Source organism: Homo sapiens, chromosome 15 (genome assembly GCF_000001405.40).
Source record: "Homo sapiens chromosome 15, GRCh38.p14 Primary Assembly".
Lineage (NCBI taxonomy): Eukaryota > Metazoa > Chordata > Mammalia > Primates > Hominidae > Homo > Homo sapiens.
The window spans coordinates 99,646,699-99,662,804 of NC_000015.10; the positions used below are offsets into that span (position 1 = coordinate 99,646,699).

The 16,106-nt window shown below is 34.9% G+C and overlaps 1 protein-coding gene across 82 annotated transcripts in view, besides 1 other annotated feature; it reads left to right on the top strand.

Annotated features, from left to right (window-relative positions):
• MEF2A (myocyte enhancer factor 2A) overlaps positions 1-16,106 on the top strand; it is a 151,072-nt gene that overhangs the window by 81,282 nt on the left and 53,684 nt on the right. The gene's annotated exons all lie outside the window — the stretch shown is intronic.
• Positions 4,592-4,792: a silencer, noted in NCBI's record as "peak2449 fragment used in MPRA reporter construct". NCBI's record gives its function as "represses an SCP1 promoter by STARR-seq MPRAs in K562 erythroleukemia cells {active_cell/tissue: K562}" and the evidence as "EXISTENCE:reporter gene assay evidence [ECO:0000049][PMID:32103011]".

Consider the following 16,106-nt stretch of genomic DNA (forward strand, 5'->3'; position numbering starts at 1 on the left):
TTGTTGTATAGGAATCTAATTTATTTGCCTCCTCAAGTTGTTATTGTTCCGAAAATGCATTTTAAATTTCCCCTATACTTCTTTGCCTTAACTGTCCCTCTTCAGGCAGTGATTGATACCATTACTACACACATAAAAACTATTACTTGTATTTTAAAAACAGCTTTTGTTACTTTTTAGTCATTTTTTCAAATGAGAAGTAAAGGTATAGCATAATTACAGCTAGGACTCATCTCTGTTGCTTGACTTATCCATAGTTTTATTTATGGGGCTCACTGCTGTTAACCTCCCCTGAATTGTATATGAAATTTTTTATTTTGCTTTTGTTGATAACTTTGATTAAACTACATGGTTATATCTTTAGCTAAACCCCTTAATGCAGTTATATTTATGTCATTTATAAATTATATTATTTAGCAGTTATGTTATATGTTATCATTTATTTATAATACTGTATAGTAGACCTTTCCCCTATTACATGTCATGAATACATTTTGTATTGTAATATTGTAAATTAGGGTATCATTCAGGTAAGCTTTGTTAAGAGACTTCATAACTGGATTTCCTTGAAATGGAGAGTAACCCTGTTGTGTTTAAAATAGCTTCTTATCTTATAAATCTATATGTCTCATCAAAAGTTACACTGCCTCAACTCAAACCAATGGAGCTGACTTTGATAATGTCAGCAAATAAGTATTCTAGCTAATTTCATTATAGAGGCAACCACCTCCTTAACCCTAACTACACTGCTCTTTCATTGCAGCAGTTGTTATTCTTGGTCCGTGGAGGTTGAGGGTACTTCACACTGCCTAAAGCTTACTTCCCTAGAGAATACGGAGAATGTAGTCTGATTTAATCCTCATAGAATTTTCAGACTACCTCAATCTTCATCTCTGTTGTGGACAGCAAAGTGTAAGAGAGCAGATCCCAAACATTTTTTTAAGCAGTCTCCTATATTACAGTCTGTTTCAATATGAAGGAAAACTTTTGCGGCTCAATTACATATTGGGATTTTGATGTTTTCTTTTTAATTGCATTTCCTCAAAATAAGTTAAAATGAATCGTGTTAATAGTTCCTTGTGAAGTTCTAAATTATATAAATACAGTAGATAGAAGACACATTAGATTATTAGGGATTAATTTATTGTGGTAGGATAAATTACAAGGCTTAATTCACACTTCTTGTATATTAATGTCTTACTGAGTCAACTTTTATTAAGAGAGTGGTTGTTAAGCTTGTGAGATAGGCCTTTTTTCACATATGAAGATGATGCAGCCTACATCTTCACTAGTAGTGCAATTCACATACGAGTTCTTTTTGCCAGTAGTGTAATGGCTTACGCTAATGCATCTATACAGTTTGCTATGGTTCAAATTAAATTTACAGGATAACAGTAATGAAGTTACTTACATAGAGCTTCCTATGGGTCTTAGTTTTTACAAAGTACTTTACAGTTGCCTCATTGAAGGATATTTTTGGAATACCATTTTTTCCTTTTCACAGTTTCCTTTCAGGCAGTTGTATTGATGGGAAGCAGGCTTTTTGATGCCCATTTACTCATTTGACAAAGATTTGAGGGGGTTCTATGTGCTTTGCAAGTTGATCTTATTTAGAGATTCCTAATTCAGGCCAGAAGAATATTCTTCCTACCCATATTTTTATAAACCATTGAGGTATACTTTTACCAACTGAAGATTTTATGTATATTTATAAGAACTTTGAACAAGTTGGTGATAAGCTTCTGGACTCCTTAGCCATCTCATGTGGTTGAAAACATCAGGATAAAATAGAGGCATGAACAGTTATAAGTGATCTACTTTAGAGTGATTTCTAAAGTATATGACCAATATACTTAAGAGTTTGTGTCATTATGTAAGCAATAATGACACAAACTCTGAAAACAACAACTTCCATAAGGCCTATAACCTGACTCCACATATTTCCGTTTGCATATATGTTAGTCTTTAAAAAATCAGCAGGATTTTACTTTCCCTATATTACTGAAATATGCTTTGACAGAGTCTTGAGTATATTAACATGGCGTCTTCATTAGATGTGTTCCTCTTCTGTTGCATCCAATACACAAGCCCTTTGAGGATGTGCTGTGAGGATGTGCTGTCAGCCTCACCTGTGTAGTCTGTAGTACAGGACGCACGTGTATTAGGTCTGCGGAGTTAGATATAGTGTGTTTTGTGGGAGTACTGTAAGATTAATATAATGTATTAAAAGTAGTTGGTATTTGAATATTGTTGATTATAAATAGGTAGAAATGGTGCTCTTATTTTTCTGTGTTTCAATTTTATGTATAAACTTAAATCCATCTATCTTTGTTCTGCCTCATTTTATATTAATTATGTTTTTAAACTAGTTCTTAAATTTAAAATTTTAATCAATTTTTTAAACTTTGGTTAGAGTTGATAAAATTTAAAAAATTCTATACAGGTTTATTTTTTTAATTTGTACTTACATATTTTAAATTGCATTTAGGTATTTTAAATTAAGGTCTGCAGTGTCTTGAGGATGTATATATCCCCTACATTAAGAAAGCTGAATATATGATAAAGCAGACTTACACATTAGTAAATTAAGAGATTGCCATTAGGGTAAGATTCATAAGAGACTTCATAACTCAATTTCTCTGAAATGAAGAATATCATTGCTGTGTTTAAAATGTTTCCACACTGCTTTTCAGTAGTATATTTCTTACAAAACATGAGTTTTATAACTTTATTTCCCATATTTCATTAGGTGACATTCCACAAAGAATGTTGTCAAAAACACACATTTTATCTTTTCAAGTTATTAAGCATTGATACAAAAATAGGTGGCAGACTTTTGTTTGGTCCTATAAAATGTAGTAATTTAATTTAAATGTATGAAGAAAATGTTATAACTCCTTAGTTTTTCTTTTCAGTAAAATTAAGATTAAAAATTATGAACTATATTATATAATTTTACAGGAATACTAGGTATGTCCTAGAGTGTAGGAAACTACAGATGGAAATTACCAACACAAGCAGTTGCCATTGTTCATACACATGCATATGTGTGTAATTTGAATTTATACTAAATAAAAGCCTAGAGCCAATAGAGGCTTTGGGATTCTGCATCAAAAGAACAATTATGCTAAAAGGCAACAAATGATACCTAAAAAACACCTGAGAATACTTTTGTATCCATGTTTTTTCCTGTCATTTGGCAGAAATATTGAAAATACTAAATATTTCTGCTTATAATTTTTTAAAAATAGCCGTGACTTGGTAACATTCAGAAATCATTTGTATGGCAATTCAGATTATTGTGCTGTCATTTAAGGATGTAAATAAAAGGGTCATGGCCGTTTGTCTCTCTTGTTAATATCTGGTGCACTATTCCCAAAGAGAGGAGGTTTTCACCACAGGCATACTACGGTACTTAAAAAAAAAATTCTTCTCGCAGTATCTCATTTAAGCTTCATATTCAAGGTAAGCTTTTTCAGAAGCAAAAATTGGGATGCACATTAAAATGACTTGCCCAGAGTCATGTAGCAATGTAGTGGCAGAACCAGGATTAGGACCCAGGTCTGTGACATTAACCTTTCCCCTTGCTCCTTAGTTCACTGCATCCAGGGGAGCTCTGGAGCATTTTACCGTAAGTAGATAAGATTTTATACATACACCAATCATGTACGATCTATAGCAGTCACGAATAAGTTTTCCTCAGTAATGAACAGAAAACTAGTGAGGATAATAGCAGTAAGAATGATAGGTATTATTAAGCACTTAACATGGTCTAGTAAAGACTTCATTTGAATTATCTTATTGAATCCTTACTGTTGCCCTTATTTCACATTGAGGCAATGGAGACACAGTGATAAATTAAGTCAGATGTTGATAATTTGGATTCTGAAGAAAGAGAAAATCTGTTTGAGTCTTAAAAATCCCTTCCTATTTTCAAATTACAAAAGAATTTGGAAGTAACATCTGAAAGAAAGGAAGATAGGGAATCAGTATAAGATCCATCTATCAATTAGAAAATAAAAGCAGATGGTAGTGAAAGTGATTATACTTGAGAGTACCTTATTTAAAATCACTGGTCCTCACAATGTGTAGTGCCCTGACCAGCAGCAGCAGCAGCCCCAGAGGCTTCCTAGAAATGCAAGTTCTTGGTCCCACCTTAGACCTTCTGAATCTGCAGCTTTTGAGATGAAGCCAAAGCAGTCATGAATTAATTTGAATTAACTTGCCTTAAGTGCAGTTATAGACTAAAAGTTTCCAGTTAACAGTTTCTTGGGAGTGGTTATCCAGCTTTTTAAACATTTTTATCCCCAAGAATATCCCCTGAAATAATTTCAAACAAAGAGCAAGCACAAACTGTAATTTTTTAAACCCTCTAAAAAGTAATTCAAACTATGCAGTATTTGTGTGAATTGCACCTAAGGAATACATTTCTAATGGGTTACATTTCAGTTCGATTCCACATGGTTATAAGAGCTTGTGTGAGTGTGGTTTCTTTGAGGGGTGCTTCTTTGAGAGGTGTGGTGGGGATGAGTCGGAGGTGGAATCTGGCTCTTCAGATGAACAAAAAAGAAAGTTAAATGACCTATCTCCTGAGATCATCTAGTGCTTGACCTTACAAAAGTAGAAGCATGATTATGCTTGGATTTTCTGACAGTATCATGATATTCTCAAAGAGGCTTTTTGAGCCAGTCCTCTTTTCTCCCCATGTTATAGACGAGGAATGGAACAGACAGGGAGTATTTAAGAGGCTTGCCTAATGTTTTACAGGGCTGCAGTGGAGCATCAGGGAAAGGGAAAAAATAATGAGACATCTGAAGACAAGACAAAGCTTTCCTCCACCTCCAGTCCCCTGCCCTGCTCTTTTATTCCTAACAGAGCCTGAAGCAGCAGGATGATGATTCACAGGGTGAGGCACATAGTCCTCATGGCTCTCCTCCGCTTCCCACATGTCACTGCACCATCGCCTCACACAGCAGTCACCATAGCTCTTGTAATTTCAGTTTTACTACTTTTATTTTGCTGTGCATGTGAATATTATTTAATCATACAATTATTGGTTTTCATTTATGTGCTTTGTATAAGGGACTACACGTCTCTAAGTGTGGTTTTTCTTGAGGTCATATTATTCTCCATTAGAGGTTCATGTCATTGATACACAAATGAGAGTTCATGTGGGGAGGAAAAGATGATAGATATCACTTGTATATATAACTGAACTTTTTTCTGTAATACATTTCTTGTGATTATTGATGGATACCTCCCTATGTGTTCTTTTTATGTCATATGTGTCAGGGATTGAATATTTTATTAATAGTACTTACCATCAGATAAAGTGTTCCTTTTTCTCCAGAAGATATTTGATGCTTTGGTCAAATTTTTGACCAATAAGAAGAGGAGATAAAGAGGATGGAGATAAAGTTGCTCTAGAGGTGATGCTATCACCAGAGTTCTTTAAAGCAGCAGTCCCCAACCTTGTTGGCACCAGGGATGGGGGTTGGGGGTGGGAGGAATGTGGACAGGGAGATGGTTTTGAGATGAAATTGTTCCACCTCAGATCATCAGGCATTAGATTCTCATAAGGAATGGGCAGCCTAGATCCCTTGCTCGTGCAGTTCGCAGTAGGTTTCATTCTCTTACGAGAATCCAATGCTGCTGCTGATGTGACGGGAGGCAGAGCTCAGGCAGTAATGCTCACTTGCCCACCACTTACTTCCTGCTGTGCAACCTGGTTCCTAACAGGGTCTGTGGCCCCGGGGGTTAGGGACCCTTGCTTTAAAGGTTATGGTAGGTGGAAAACAAAGATGCTCTAGGTCAGAGGGGCAGCTTATATGGAAATTAGGAAATGAGACACTGCAGTTAGTGTACGAAGTTGAAATCAGCCAAGTGTCACTGTAGTATACTGTGAAGAGTGGAATAGCTAAGACCTGAGAAGTAAACCAGGTCCACATGAGCTATATAAGGCCCTTCACTTTATCCTGCAGGTTTGGATAGCCACTGAAAGAGCTGAATAAAATAGCTGCTTAGGTTTCTCCTTGCATTTCCCAAGCAGTAAGTTGTGTTAGAACTGCGTGGTAATTTTTTGAAGGGAGTTGAAGAAAAAGGAAAAGAGGTAAAAATATTGAATGTAATAGTTCTACATTTTAAATTTATTGTACTGATGTTTGTCGTACTATGTACCAGGCATTTTGCTAAACACTGGGAATATAGTGGTAACTGGCCCTATTGCTGCCTTTTTCCTAATAAGATGATATGCTGGCTATTTTATTATCTTATGGCAGAAGTGCTTTTGTTAGATACACTTCAATATCGACTTAAGACCCTTAGAATGCCAAGATTTTTATGTTTCTCATCAGATATTAATCATTAAGCATATAACTATTATAAGATAAGATATTATACTGCTATTCAAGCCAGAAGTTCATTTAGGGCAGAAGATACTAGGTGCTTCCCGTGTTTCTCAATGTTCTGTGTCAGCCTGTAAGGTGAGATGTATATAGTCTAAATGATCTTTCAGTTCTCTTATATATAGATGGGTAATGCGGACATGCAGTTTTGTGAAACCTGGCACTTCAAACACACAATTTAAAATTAAAGAGACAGCTGTATAGTTTTCATATTTATTTTGAAGTTATTTTTGTGGCTCTGTTCTCAGAGAGAGACTAGGGATCTAGATTCTACAGAAAGACACCTTCTTGCATAGATTAGTCATAACTCAACTTTTTAATTTACAATTATGCAATCAGTGCTGTACTGGTAAAAGAAATTCCAAATGATAGTATGAATTATATTTTAGAAAATGAGACATACCTTATAATTTTCTAGGTTTTTGTTTAGTTGGTTGATTTTCAAATTTCTAACGTGTTTCACTGATTGTGTATGCTAAGGGTATTTTATAAAGAAAATTTGATATGGGATTATGGTTTTTTCCTCAAATAATGTTTCTTGTAGTTCTCATTTTAATTCATTAGCAGTAAAACATGAGAAGGTAAACCTTCCATATTGTTTTTAAAATGTTAGTGATTTTTAAGACTTGGTAAATAGGCACTACATGCTTAAGCCTTCTAGAATAACCCAAAGCTTTATTATGCACGTTGGACTTTATCTCCTGTAACTCAGTGGAGAATATTTTTCTGTCATGCTTTGTTTTTATATAAATTTTCTTTTCAAATATCTGGTTTATTTTGTGGTAATTTCTGGGCTTAAGTGTTATTTCCAGAATGTATCTCGAAAACTTTAAAAATGTTTATGCTCTGAAAAAAGAACGTAGAAGTAGCAACTAGTATTTGTAGAGGAATTCAAGACATTAGCTTGCTTTTTTTGCGCCACCCACGTTCATATAGGATTATCCCATAATATTATATAATTAAAATATTTTTATTGTGGTTTTCCACATTTATGTAGTTGAATTAAGTTTTTAAAAATGGTTTCGTTACTTTGGTCTCTTATAAACCTATCAGTTTTGTGCTGTAGGACAGTATAAAATAATGTTTTAGATATTTTGTGAAAGTTATTTGATATTAGACTCTCAAATCCTACTTAATATGTCACTTATTAGTAAAGTAGATATCTGTATTTAATATTCTAACTAGCATATATTTGCTATATTATCCATTTATTTATTGAATGGTTAGTGTACTGGGTTACTAAGCTCAATGTTTAATAGGGCAGAGAGAACAGTATTAAAATTTTAAATCTTATTAAGTTTTGATGATCAGTTAAAATAATGTATGTGAAAGCATTTTGAGAACTATAGGTTGCTTCTGGATGCAGGCAACAGAAGACCTCACTGAAATTGGTCTTAAAAATAGGGGTATTGGGGGACAGAGCGAGGCTCCATCTCAAAAAATAAATAAATAAATAAATAAAAATAAATTAAAAAAAAAGGGGGGGGTATTGGTTATTTCATGTAAGAAAAATTCCAGCAGCATGGTAGAGATTTGGCTGTGTTCAAGCGGGCTCCAGGTCTCTGCCTTTGCCCATGCATCATTGTCTTCACACTGGCTTTTTCATGTCGATAAAATGGCAGTGGTAGCTCTAGGCCTTATATGTGAACACAGCATCATATAAAGCAGCACTATCTAATAGAATTTGTTCCATATTTGTGCTGTCCAATATAGTAGCCATTAACTATGTGTAGTTATTGAGTGTGTAGTGCAACTGAAAAACCTGAGTTTTTAATCTTTTTAAATTTTAATTTAACCACATGTGGCGATTGGTTACTATATTGTTGAGCATCTATCTAAAGTATCAGAGATCAGTTGTGTCCCAGAATCCACAGCAGATGTTCTAAAATTAATTCTAATTGTACTGTTTAAATCGCTTGCCTCTCCATCTCCCACTCTGAAAACACTAAACACAGTGGTAGAGAAAGGATAGAATATCCTGATTGGCTTATTGTAGCTAGATGTTACACCCCTGGGATTTACTACAAAACTAAAGTAATTCAGTGTGGTATTTGCATAGGGATAGGCATGTAGTTCAATAGAACAGAATAGAGAGCTCAGAAATGTACCCACATATACATGGTTAATTGATTTTTGACAAAAGAGCCAAGGTAAATCAATGAGAAAAGGACAGTCTTTTCAATAAATGGTGCTGGAAAACCTGGATATCCATATAGAAAAAAAATAAGCCTCAGTATTTACCTTACATCATATACAAAATGTTTATGGAATAGCGGCTTTGCATAGGGGAGTAATCAAAGGTAAGGAAGAGACAAATTGAATATAGTTGATAGATGGTCTTGAATACCCAGCTGTGGTATTTAATATTTGTCCTATAGGCATTGGGCAGCCTTTAGAGGGGTGTTTAAAAGTTTTAAGTAGTCAAGTCATTGTTACAGGAATTAATCTGGCAGCAGATTAGCAGTATTTTAAAAGAAGTGTGTAGCTTTTAAAACTAAACTAAATTATCTCACTTATTACTCATGATAGGCTTTAGTAATGTTGAGAATTATAGAAAGAGGAATGCAATTCCATTTGGTTTGAATGGAGAGGGGAGATTAAAGTGGGGGGTTAGGCCATGTTCTAAGGAATAGAATATATTGACACATCATGCTGTTTAAAAATTGATTTATAGAAAATTTGCATAATTGTAAAACATATATATTATTATAGAGAGAGAGAATTGACCTAATAATGCTGTGAAAAGTGGTTTGTGTGTTATAAAACAGTTAGGAAACTCTGATCTGGCTCTCTCTTTCATTTAACTGATGAGGAAGCCGCGTCCAAATTGAGCAAGAAAGACTGTAGATCCTTTGAGGCAAAGACTTCGCTAAGGAACATTAGTATTTTTCACAGTGCTCAGTAAAGATTCAGCACACAGCTTAATAATGACCTATAAAATGGAACTAAAGGTAGTGTTGTGTACTTCCGCATTCACTTAATCATAAATTAAGAGTATTTATGATACTCAGTTAAAACTTCATCAAATATTACAAAATCTAGTAGGGACAAAAATATAAAATATGTTTAAGTTGAAGGAACACTCAGTGTGTAGGAGGTGATTCTTTTTACTCTGTTAACACTGGAAATGATAACTTTATTTCCTTATCTCCCCATCCTCCACATCTACTAACATATATTACTTCCAGCCTTTAGAGAAGTAAATGTACTTAAAAAGATAAGTATAGAGGCCTCTGCTGTATTGCAGTGTATGCATTCTTGAATAATCTCATAAACCGCAAAACCTATGCAGCTTTGTATTCTGCACATGAACATAAATGATAATTGGAGGGATAGCTTGAAATGCTCAATGAGGCATCTTAGTAGCTAGTGGCCACTATGGTGGGTCCTGTAAATACACAAAATTACTTGAATAGAAATGCTGGCAGCACTTGAATTAGGATGGGCTAGTGCATCTTAGGACAATATGATATGATTTCCAGTGTGATAACTTCATGATTGGAGTATACATTCCCAGAGCTTTCAGTAACCTAATTAATCAGGTTAATACTGTAGTAGTACTGTCACATTACCTTGTATCTTTATAAATAATTGCTCCAGACATCCTTAACTATCATGTGAAATTGAATGCATATTTTAATTGCTTATTGAAATGTGGTAGGCATACCTGAGATTAACTTTTTTGCTCTTCTTTTAAATGAGATATAATTCGTATACCATAAAATTCACCAGTGTAGATTATGCAGTTCAGTGGTTCTTAGTCCATTCACAAGTTGGTACAACCATGAACGCTATCTAATTCTAGAACATTTTCATCAATCCGAAAAGAAACCCAGTACCCATTAGCAATCACTTACCAACTCCTCCTTCCCCTACATCCTGGCAACCACTAATGTACTTTCTGTGTCTATGGATTTACCTGTTCTGGGAATTTGATATAGATGGAGTCATGCAATATGTTCTTTTGTCCAGCTTTTTCACTTAGCATAATGTTTTCAAGGTCCATCCGTATGGTAGCTGTATCAGTCCTTCATTCTGTGACCAAATAGTATTCCATTTGCTACTGTGAAGTTTGTATACAAGTTTTGGTATGGGTATAAGTTTTCACTTCTCTTGGGTATCTAGTTAGTAGTAGAATTTCCTGGATTGTGTGGTAAGTTCTGTGTTTAACTTTTTGAGGAACTGCCAAACCCTGTCCTACATCTAACTTAAAAAAAAAAATAGCAAAAACATCAACTAAAACCAATAACTTTATGGATATTATTAGAAAATGGTTGATTTTTTTTAAAATTTTGATATTGTTGGGCTAGGTTATCTGGATCAACTCTTCTGTTGAAGACATCTAAAAACTAGATAAACTGTAAAAACAGAACAAAAAAACTTTTTTACGTTATCAAAGAGCTCAAGGAATATGCCAGGCCAAAATTTAAGAGAAGGTAAGAACATAAAGGTAAAAAAGTATTTAAAGTTCTAACCACCCTGAATCATTTGCCCATCTGGATAAAGCAGTTTGTAAAACTGAGATTTGGGTTCTGATAGATTTGGGTTCTGATAGATTCAGAATCAAGGGGAAAATGATCACTTCTAGGTTTATGAGCCTAATAGATACCCCCAAAACCCTTTAAACTGGGGCCTTAAGAAAAGAGGAAAATCCACTGCCTTCTCCTGCTCCCAAAGGATTCCAAGGAGAGTTATTTAGTACTGAGCAGATAGGGGAAAGAAGAGAACACGAAAAGAAAAATAGAACATATCTGACAGATTGTAAACCAAGTTACCAGCATTGTGTGGAATCGTAGTTCCAAGTCATATAATACCAGACATTCAAGAAAACTAGTGCCCTGTTAACTGGGGGAAGCAAATTTATATCCTTTTTGAAGAAAGTCACCTTATTCTGTGTATCAGAAATCTCTTTCAAATAACCTTTCAGAACTATAGAGCATCATACAAAGATGACCAAGCATACAAGAAAACAAGGCACAGTGAGGAAAACACAGCAGGATACAGCAGAAAATAGCTCTTATATATTTCAGATGACATTGTTATTATATGTAGATTATAGAACAGTTTCACTTTCTATGTTTTAAGAAATAAGCTTGAAAATATCAGTAGGAAACAGGAAGTTATATAGGAATTGACATAGCAGAGTTGAATGAAATACTTCAAGATGTGAAAAAATACGATGACCAAAACTAATTAATGCAGTAAACATGGTGGAAGTAGATTTTCCATAACCGCAGAGAGAATTTGTGAACCAAAGATAGAAGAAATTATCTAGAATTCAATGCAAATATTAAAAGGCAGAAAATATCAAGAAAGGTTTAAAGAAAAGGAGGATCATGTTTAGAAGTTCTAGCTTATGCTTAATTGGCATTGTAGAAGACGGAAACAGAGAATCGGGTAGAGGCAATATTTGATGAGATAATGACACAATTTTCTAGGATTGATGAAAGCCCACCATCCTTAGATTTAAGAAATTCAAATCCCATGCAGAGTAAATGTGTAAAAAAAAAAACAAACAAAAACTCTATATAGACATAGTGAAACTGTGCAGAAAACAAAGACAAGAAAGACGTAAAGAAACTATCCTCAAAAGAGTGCTATTTCCAAATAACAAATGAAATCTGGAGTCAATGAAATGATATCCTAAGTGTGCTGTTTAGGAAGGGAGTAGAATGCAACCTAGAGTTCTATACCCAGAGAAAATTTCGACAGGGAAAGCATAACACCTGTATATCAGTGTTACAATCAAACCATCTACTGCTTTGGAAGAAAGGGCCAAGACCAAGTCAGGCTGCCATGGTAAGCAGTCTTCATCGAATGACCAGATGATCTCTACAGTCTTCATGTGGACGATGATCTATGTCTAATTTATCAGTAAATATCAGCATCTAGTAGGGTGCTTTCGATAAATTTTGTTGAATGAAAGAAAAAAGGCAAATTAAGGTATTTATTCAGTAAACAAAAAGGGATAGTGAAGAACCAAGCTCCAGGACTTTTGAAGATAGACTTTCTTGTCTGTGGTGCACTGAGAATCAGCTCTATCTTAGTATTCATTTACGTGTGGAGATCTAGAACAGAGTTACATTCTTTCTGGTGACAAGCTGAGACTACCTGGCTGCTCAATATCCAGCTCCTGGGAGACAAGGGCCTCAAAACTGTTGGGATTGGGGGGTGGGGCAGGTAGGGAATCTTACTACCATTTGTTAGGATTTTTACCATCAAACCTAGGAGTAGCTTGGAACTGGGTAAGATCTTAGAATTTAGAGAAGCCATAGCCTGAACACCACACACTTCTCACTGAGGAAGATAGGGGTGATAAGATCATGGAGGAACTGGAGAGGAATATGAAGACAGTGCCTACAACCACCACATACACAGTAAACATTCTCTCTTCTCAGTGGTTGAAGTTGTTCCTGATTACAGCTCTCTTATCTGTTCTCCCTTTGATTTGCTGACTGATGGATGCAGTCCATTTAAGAAATGAGCATAGCATATTGGAAAGAGCACTAGACTTAGATTCTAGTCCCAGTTCTGTCACTTAACAGCTATGTGTTGAGGTGAGGTGAGGGAAGAGTACTTGGATCTCTGGATCTCTTTTAACTTTAATATTCTCCTCTATAAGGGTAGAAGATGAACTAGAGGATCACAACAGTACCATTTAGTTTTCCGTTCAGTGGCAATTTTGACATACTTTTTTGAGCATACATAATCTCAGAATCCTATGCCTCAAAACTTTGATTCATTGGACAGATTTCAAGAAAAATATAATTTAACAAATGTAATAAAGAAAAAATAGAAAAATTGAATAATCTTGTCAAGTTTTCCACAAAACTACAAGTCCAGATGGCTGCATAAGAAAATACTAGCAAATTTTTAAGAAGGAAGTAATTCCAGTATTTCACAAACCCTTCCAAAGAATAGTAAAAACAAAGAGCTTTCCTTTCCTCGTTATCTAAAATTAGCCTAACTTTGATAGCAAAACCAGCTAGGAGAGTTGCAAAGATAATAATCAGAAGCCAGTCTCACTGAACATAAATGTGAAAGTCTTCAGCAAAATATTAGTCTACTTCGTGTTCACATCTTTCTTATGGGAGACTTTTTTGTTTGTTTGTTTTTGAGATGGAGTTTCGCTCTTGTTGCCCAGGCTGGAGTGCAATGGCGTGATCTTGGCTCACCCCGACCTCCGCCTGGGAGACATTTTTATTTTCAGAATGACCCATTTTCTCTACTGTTTGGGCACAAAACTAGACTCTGTATTAGCCTCCCCTGTGGTTAGGAGTGGCCATGTGACTGACCTCTGACCAAGGAGATGTGAGTGAAAATGATGCAGGCTGCTTCCAGGTGTGACCAGTAAGATACTTCCCACATAATCTTCGTACTCTTTCTTCCCTGTTTGGCATCCCATGTGCTAAGAATGGGAACCCTGAGGTCCTATATGTGGAACCATAAGGTAAATGTCTTTGGGCTCTGAATCTCACACAGGGCTCACTGAGAATAAGAAACATCCTTCTTGGGCTTTGTATGAATAAGAAAGAAATAAACTTTCATTGTGTTAAGCCACTGAGATTTATGGATTTATTAAAGCATCTAGCATTACTTATACTAATACAGAGATTAAATCTAGTGATATGTAGAAGAGATAATATATTATGACTAAGTTGAATGTATCCTAGTAGAGTTATACCATATTCATAGATCAGAAGTCTCAAATTATATATATCTGTGCCACATAAGATAATCTCTGTAGAGTTGATGAAATATCAATCAGAATCCCAAGAAATACTTTTTGAAAGAACTTCAACAACTGATTCTAAAGTTCACAGAGAAAATAGAACAGAAGACACTGAAGAAGAACAAGGTGAGAGGGTTTGCACTGCAATATATTGAGACTAATTTTAAAGCTATAATAATGAACATACAGTGGCAGTGGCACAAATACCAAATGCCAAACGTACCAATGGAATAATAGCTCAGAAACAGGACCATGCATATTTAGATACTTAATATATGATAGAGTGGCAGAACAAACTCCTTAAGCAGTGGTATAGGGACAATTGGGTATCCATGTAGAAAACTCATGAAATTGGACTTACCTCAGATTTTATACAAAATTACCTCCAGGATGCTTATAGACCTAAATGTAAAAGGCAAAATTATAAAGCTATTTGCAGGATAATATAGGAGAATATCTTCATAATTTTGGAAAGGATTTCTTATATAAGGCATAAAAATCACTATCATATGGATAACTGGAAAGGAAAAAACTGATAAATTTGACTCCGTTTAAGAACTCTGCATCCAAAGATAAGCGTTTTTTTTTTTTTTTAATGCTACATAATGGGAAGATATTTTTACAATGTATAAAATTAGCCAAGGGCTTACATTGACTACTTATAAAATAATTACTATAAAAATAAATAATTAAAAGAACTACTATAAAACAATTATCAAAAGGCAGTAGAAAACTTAGCAAAGTACTTGAATAGGTGCCTCACAAAAGAGAACATCCATGTGGCCTATAGATATGAAATGTGCTTCATTTCATTAGTAGTTGGTATTGCAAATTAAATCCCACAGGTAGGAATGCATATTGATACAATTACTTTAAAAGACAGTTTGGCATTATCTAGTATAACTGAAGATCCACATGTTTTATGAACTAATACTTCTATTCCTAAGAATACATACCCAAGAGAAATGTGTGCACATTATGCAGTAGACTATCTACAGAAATGTCCACAGCAGCATTTTTATAGATTCAAAAGATTGAAGCCACTCCAATGTCTGTCTGTTGTAGAATGGATAAAGCTTTTTTTTCAAGCCATGTAATACAGTATTTAGTGAAAATGAGCCAGCTATAATTCTGTGTAACTCTATGGCGGAATCTCATAAACAGTGTTAATGCTGAATAGTGTACTGTGTGTGGTTCCATTTACATATCATTCACAAATAGGCATAGCTAAATTATATTTTTAGGGATATGTATATATGTGGTAAATGTATAAAGAAAATCCAGATAATTGTCATCACAGAGTTAGGATGGTATTAACTGTAAAGGTGGGAGGAGAGGGTTATGGGATGAAGGGAGATAGGGAGGGTTCTGGCCTTGGTCTATTTTTTTGACTTGATTGAAATGACTGATGTTCACTTTATAATTATTTGTTGAATTTTATATAAACTTGTACATACCTTACATATTTCACAATTTTTAAAAATTGTTTTTATGTGTTGTCAGAGTAGCTAGAAAGAATAGTATATGTTTCAAAATTGGAAATAATTATTTACAATGAGGAAAGACAACTTTTCTCATTTTTAAAATATCACAATAATCTAGTTTCAATTTCCTGAAACTTAAGACATGATTTCTTTTTTCCTCTTTTTTTTTTTTTTGAGACAGAGTCTTGTTCTGTCACCCAGGCTGGAGTGCAATGGCACCATCTCAGCTCACTGCAACCTCCACCTCCTGGGGTTAAAGCGATTCTCCTGCCTCATCCTCCTGAGTACCTGGAATTACAGGTGTCTGCCACTACGCCCAGCTAATTTTTTTGTATTTGGAGTAGAGACAGGGTTTCACCATGTTGGCCAGGCTGGTTTCAAACTCCTGACCTAAAGTGATCTGCCTGTCTCTGCCTCCCAAAGTGCTAGGATTACAGGCATGAGCCACCGCGCCCGGCCCAAGCCATGATTTCTTTATTTTACAAG